General features: G+C 42.2%; 1 annotated feature.

Moving 5' to 3' along the window:
* Window positions 3,935–5,134: an enhancer, noted in NCBI's record as "BRD4-independent group 4 enhancer chr18:18710935-18712134 (GRCh37/hg19 assembly coordinates)". NCBI's record gives its function as "activates an origin of replication core promoter dependent on BRD2, P300/CBP, MED14 and CDK7 cofactors, and independent of BRD4, by STARR-seq in HCT116 cells {active_cell/tissue: HCT116}" and the evidence as "EXISTENCE:reporter gene assay evidence [ECO:0000049][PMID:35650434]".

Here is a 5,638-nt window from a genome sequence, read left to right as displayed (position 1 = left end):
TAAAAATAAATAAAATTTAATTTAATTTAAAAATAAAACAAAATAATAAATAGAATGTACATGGATAAGCAAAGGACCTATAATAGCCAAAACAATTTTGAAAAATACAAACAAAGCTGCAGCAGTCACACTTCTTGATTTCAAGGCTTTTATAAATCTAGAGTAATCAAGACAGCATAGTATTGGTAAAAGACAAACATATAGATCAATTGAATAGAATAGAGAGTCCAGAAATAGACTCACACAAAATTGCTTAATTGATTTTCAGTAAAGTTGCCAAAGAAATTAAATGGTGAAAGGACAGTTTTTAGCAACTGGCAATCCAATAATTTGACATCCATATGCAAAAACAAAATGGAATTATATTTCTGTTGTGGATTTCTAACATAATTTTATTATGGTCAGTTAAAATGCTTTGTGTGGTTTCAACTTATGTAAATTTGTTAAGATTTGTTTTTGTCCTTCATGTATCTTAAAACCTTGTTATTAGATGTGTACCCATTTAGGATTATTATGTCTTCTCCAAATTCCTTTTGATTATTGTTTGCATGGTATATCTTTTTCTACCTTTTTACTTTTTGCCTATCTAAGTCTTTATAATTAAACTGGCTTTCCTGAGGACAGCACAGAGATTTTTTAAGCCAATATAGTAACTTTTATCTTTTAATTGGTGTGTTTAGATCATTTATATTTAATGTAATTATTGGGATGTTTAGATTTAGTTATATCATTTTATTATGTATTTTTTTTTGTCCTGTCTGCTTTTTTGTTTCCCTATTTTCTCTTTCCCTTTCTGCCTTCTTTTGGACTGTTTGGATAGTTTCAGTATTCTACTCTATTTTATCTGTTGCTTTTTGGTTCTCTCTCACTCTCGCTCTTTCTGGTTGTTCTAGAGCAAGGTTTCTCACTCTTAACACTATTGATATTTTGAAACAGATAATTCTCTGTTTTGGACCAGATAAATCTTTGTTCTGCATTGTGCAATGTAAAATGTTTAGCAACATTTCTGACCTCTACCCACTAGATGCCAGTCACACGCCTTTCTCCAGTTATGGCAATCAAAAATGTCTTCTCGACTCCAATTAAGAATGACTGCTCTAAGTAGTACAATAGAAATACTTAACATTTCTGGGTCTACTTAGAGCAATGTTTTACTATTTAAGTAATATGCAGATGCCTTACAACCATAAAGGTCCTTTAACTTCCTTCCTTTATGTCATAGTTGTCATATATATTAAATATACAGAAGCATTAAAAACCCCATAGGACAAGGTTAAATTTTTCTTTCAAAAATTTTTTTTTCTTTCAACAATTATACATATTTTAGGCCGGGTGCAGTGGCTCATGTCTGTAATCCCAGCACTTTGGGAGGCTAAGGTGGGTGGAACACGAGGTCAAGAGATTGAGACCATCCTGGCCAACATGGTGAAACCACGTCTCTACTAATAATACAAAATTAGCTGGGCATGGTGGCGCGTGCCTGTAATCCCAGCTACATGGGAGGTTGTGGCAGGAGAATCGCTTGAACCAAGGTTGCAGCGAGCTGAGATCACGCCACTACACTCCAGCCTGGATGACAAGAGTGAGACTCCATCTCAAACAACAACAACAATAACAAACAACAAAAAACAAAAAACAACAACAAAAAATTATACATATTTTAAAGAACTAAATAGGAAGAAAAAGGCAAACAATCTTTTAGATTTACCCAGCTATTTACTGTTCGTGTTGTTCTTCATTCATTCCTAAAGTTCCAGGTTTCACCTAGTATTATTTTGCTTCAGTCTGAAGAACTTCCTTGCACATTTCTTTTAGTTAGCTATGAGTTTTCTTAGTTTTCCTTCATCTGAGAATATCTTTGTTTCTCCTTCATGCCTGAGGATATTTTTGCTGGATGTGGAGTGCTGGCTTGACAGTTTTGTCATAATTTTACAGATGTTATTCCACTGTCTTCTGGCTTCTGTGGTTTCTGATGAGAAGTCCAACATCATTGTTAACATCATCGTTCTCCTGTATATAATGTGTCATTTTTCCTTAGCTGCTTTTAAGATTTTTTTCATTACATTTAGTGTTTAGTAGTTTGATTATAATGTGTTTGGGTGCGCTTTTCTCTGAGTTTATTCTATTTTGGGTTCGCTGAACTTCTTAAATCTGCAAGTTGATGTCTTTTTCTCCAAGTTTGGGAAGTTTTCAGTCATTATCTTCAAATGTTTTTTTCCATACCAATATCTTTATAGGACTCCAGTGTTATCAGTGTTAGACTTTTGATATAGTCCCATGAGTCCCTGAAGTTCTATTCAGTTTTTTTCCGATCTTTTTTCTCTTTGTTCTTCAAATTGGATAACTTCTATTAATCTGTCTTTAGGTTCACTTACTCTTTTCTCTGTCATCTTCATTCTGCTATTGAACCCATCCAGTAAATTTTATTTTACGTATGTATTTATTTTGAGACAGGGTCTCACTCTGTTACCCAGGCTGGAATGCAGTGGCACAATCTTGACTCACTGCAACTTCCACCTCCCAGGCTCAAGTGATCTTCCCACCTCAGCCACCTGAGTAGCTGGGACCACAGTTACGTGTCACCATGCCTAGCTAATTTTTTGTATTTTTGGTAGAGACCATGTTGCCCAGGCTGGTTTTGAACTCCTGACCTCAAGTGATACATACGCTTGCCTCAGCCTCCCAAAGAGCCGGGATTACAGGTGTGAGCCACCATATCCGGCCCCATCCAGTAAATTTTAAATTTCAGATATTGTATGTTTCAATACTAAATTTTCTATTTTCTTTTTTAATGATCTTTCCACTTACTTTACTTAACATGTGTTTTCCTTTACCTCATGAAGCTTATAGTATCTATTTTAAAGTCTTTATTTGACAATGTCACCAGGTGTGTCATCTTGGGGTTGACCTTTGCTAACTGTCTGTTCTCTTAAGAACTGGTCACGGCCAGGCACGGTGACTCACACCTGTAATCCCAGCACTTTGGGAGGCTGAGGCGGGCAGATCACAAGGTCAGGATATCGAGACCATCCTGGCTAACACGTGAAACCCCGTCTCTACTACAAATACAAAAAATTAGCCTGGCATTCAGAGGGGACAGCGTGCTGGCAGCCCTCGCAGCCCTCGCTCACTCTTGGCACCTCCTTGGCCTCTGAGACCACTCTGGCCATGCTCCAGGAGCCCTTCAGCCTGCCACTGCGCTGTGGGGGCCCCCCTCTGGGCTGGTTGAGGCCAGAGCCGGCTCCCTCAGCTTGCCGGGAGGTGTGGAGGGAGAGGAGCGGGTGGGAACCAGGGCTGCGTGTGGCGCTTGCAGGCCAGCTAGAGTTCCGGATGGGCGTGGGCTTGGCGGGCCCTGCACTCAGAGCGGCCCTGGGCAGTGGGGCCAGCAGCTGCGGAGGGTGCACTGGGTCCCCCAGCAGTGCCTGCGCTCGATTTCTCGCCGGGCCTTAGCTGCCTCCCCGCGGGGCAGGGCTCGGGATGTGGGCTCCTGCGCAGCCCGAGCCTCCCTGAGCGAGTGCCACTCCCTGCTCCACAGCGCCCGATCCCATCCACCGCCCAAGGGCTGAGGAGTGCAGGCCACGGCCCAGGACTGGCAGGCAGCTCCACCTGCGGCCCAGTGCGGGATCCACTGGATGAAGCCAGCAGGGCTCCTGAGTCTAGTGGGGACTTGGAGAACCTTTAGGTCTAGCTAAGGGATTGTCAACACACCAATCAGCACACTGTGCCTAGCTCCGGATTTGTGGATGCATCAATGGCACTCTGTATCTAGCTAATCTGGTGGACACTTGGAGAATCTTTATGTCTAGCTAAGGGACTGTGAATACACCAATCGGCACTCTGTATCTAGCGCAAGGTTTGTAAATGCACCAATCAGCACCCTGCGTCTAGCTCAAGGTTTGTAAATGCACCAATCTGTGGGTGCTCTGTGTCTAGCTGATCTGGTGGGGACTTGGAGAACCTTTATGTCTAGCTAAGGGATTCTAAACGCACCAATCAGCACCTTGTCAAAATGGACCAATCAGCTCTCTGTAAAACAGACCAATCGGCTCTCTATAAAATTGACCAATCAGTAGGCTGTGGGTGGGGCCAGATAAGACAATAAAACCAGGCTGCCCAAGTTCCCAGTGGAAACCTGGTCGGGTGTCCTTCTACACTGTGGTAGCTTTGTTCTTTTGCTTTTTGTGATAAATGTTGCTACTGCTCATTCTCTGGGTCCACACTGCCTTTATGAGCTGTAACACTCACTGCAAGGTCTCCAGCTTCACTCCTAAAGTCAGCGAGACCACGAACCCACGGGGAGGAATGAACAACTCCAGACCGGCTGCCTTAAGAGCTGTAACACTCAAGGTGAAGGTGTGTAGCTTCATCCCTGAGCCAGCGAGACCACGAACCCACCCAGAAGGAAGAAACTGAACACATCAGGAGGAACAAACTCCGGACATGCCGCCTTTAAGAACTGTAACACTCACCAGGAGGGTCTGCGGCTTCATTCTTGAAGTCAGTGAGAGCAAGAATCCACCAATTCCGGACATAAGATGGCGGCAGGCGCCTGTAGTCCCAGGTACTGTGGAGGCTGAGGCAGGAGAATGGCGTGAACCCGGGAAGCGGAGCTTGCAGTGAGCCTAGATTGCTGCACTGCACTCCAGCCTGCGTGACAGAGCGAGACTGTCTCAGGGAAAAAAAAAAAAAAGAACTGGTCACATTTTTCTGGTTTTTTGTTGAGTAAGTTTGAATTGTATTCTGGACTTTTCGAATATCAAATTGTGTGGATATAAGTCCTATCAAAATTCTCTAGGGGATGTTATTATTACTTTATCATTTTAGCAGGCAATCACTCCAGTAAGCTTCAGACGGCATGTTTTAAAAATCACTTTCTGTGGGCAGTGTTCCAATCTCAGTTCAGTTTTCAAAGTGTAGTGAATGCTGCTTTGGGTCTGTTCAACACACATACTTCTAAGAAGTTAGTCTGAGACTTGGGTGGTGGTTTACATATTAGTTCAATTCTCAAACCTTTGCTATGTTGTCTTAGGTCTAGTCCCATGCATATGCACCTCAAAGGTAAACATGGATTTGTATAGTTTCTTATATATTATTAAGACATCCTGTTCTCCGGTACACTTCTCTCCAGGATTCCTTCTACACTCTGTCCCATGGAGATCCCTTTTTCCAGTTCTGTGCAGAAAGATAAGGTTTCTTTTAAAAGTGTTAATTGCCTGGATCACTGCTACTAAGAAGTTCTGCACTTGAGGCCTGCCCTTGGGGCACAGCCACAGGAGAAAAGGGGGAAAAATGAGAAGTCATTCTCATATGTGTTGCTTCTTCAAGTTTTGACTCCACATCACTATTTGCCTGTTTTACTTTCAAGAGTCCTCAGATTTTTTTTAAATTTTGTCCAGAGTTTTTAGTTATAATCAGCAGAAGATATAGGTCATAGTGGATGTGCTCCATTTTGATCCGAATAGGAAGTCACATCCTGATATTTGATGTAAGAAAAAATTTTGGCAGGGCCTGATGGTTCATGCTTGTAATCCTAGCACTTTGGAATGCTGGGGCACGCGGATTGTCTGAGCTCAGGAGTTCGAGACCAGCCTGGGCAATATGGTGTAAACCCATCTCTACAGAAAGAAAAAAAAAATCA

The sequence above is a fragment of the Homo sapiens genome, chromosome 18, assembly GCF_000001405.40.
Source record: "Homo sapiens chromosome 18, GRCh38.p14 Primary Assembly".
Taxonomy (NCBI): Eukaryota; Metazoa; Chordata; class Mammalia; order Primates; family Hominidae; genus Homo; species Homo sapiens.
Note: the sequence above shows the minus strand (reverse complement) of the source record. Positions and strands in the feature narration are given on the sequence as shown.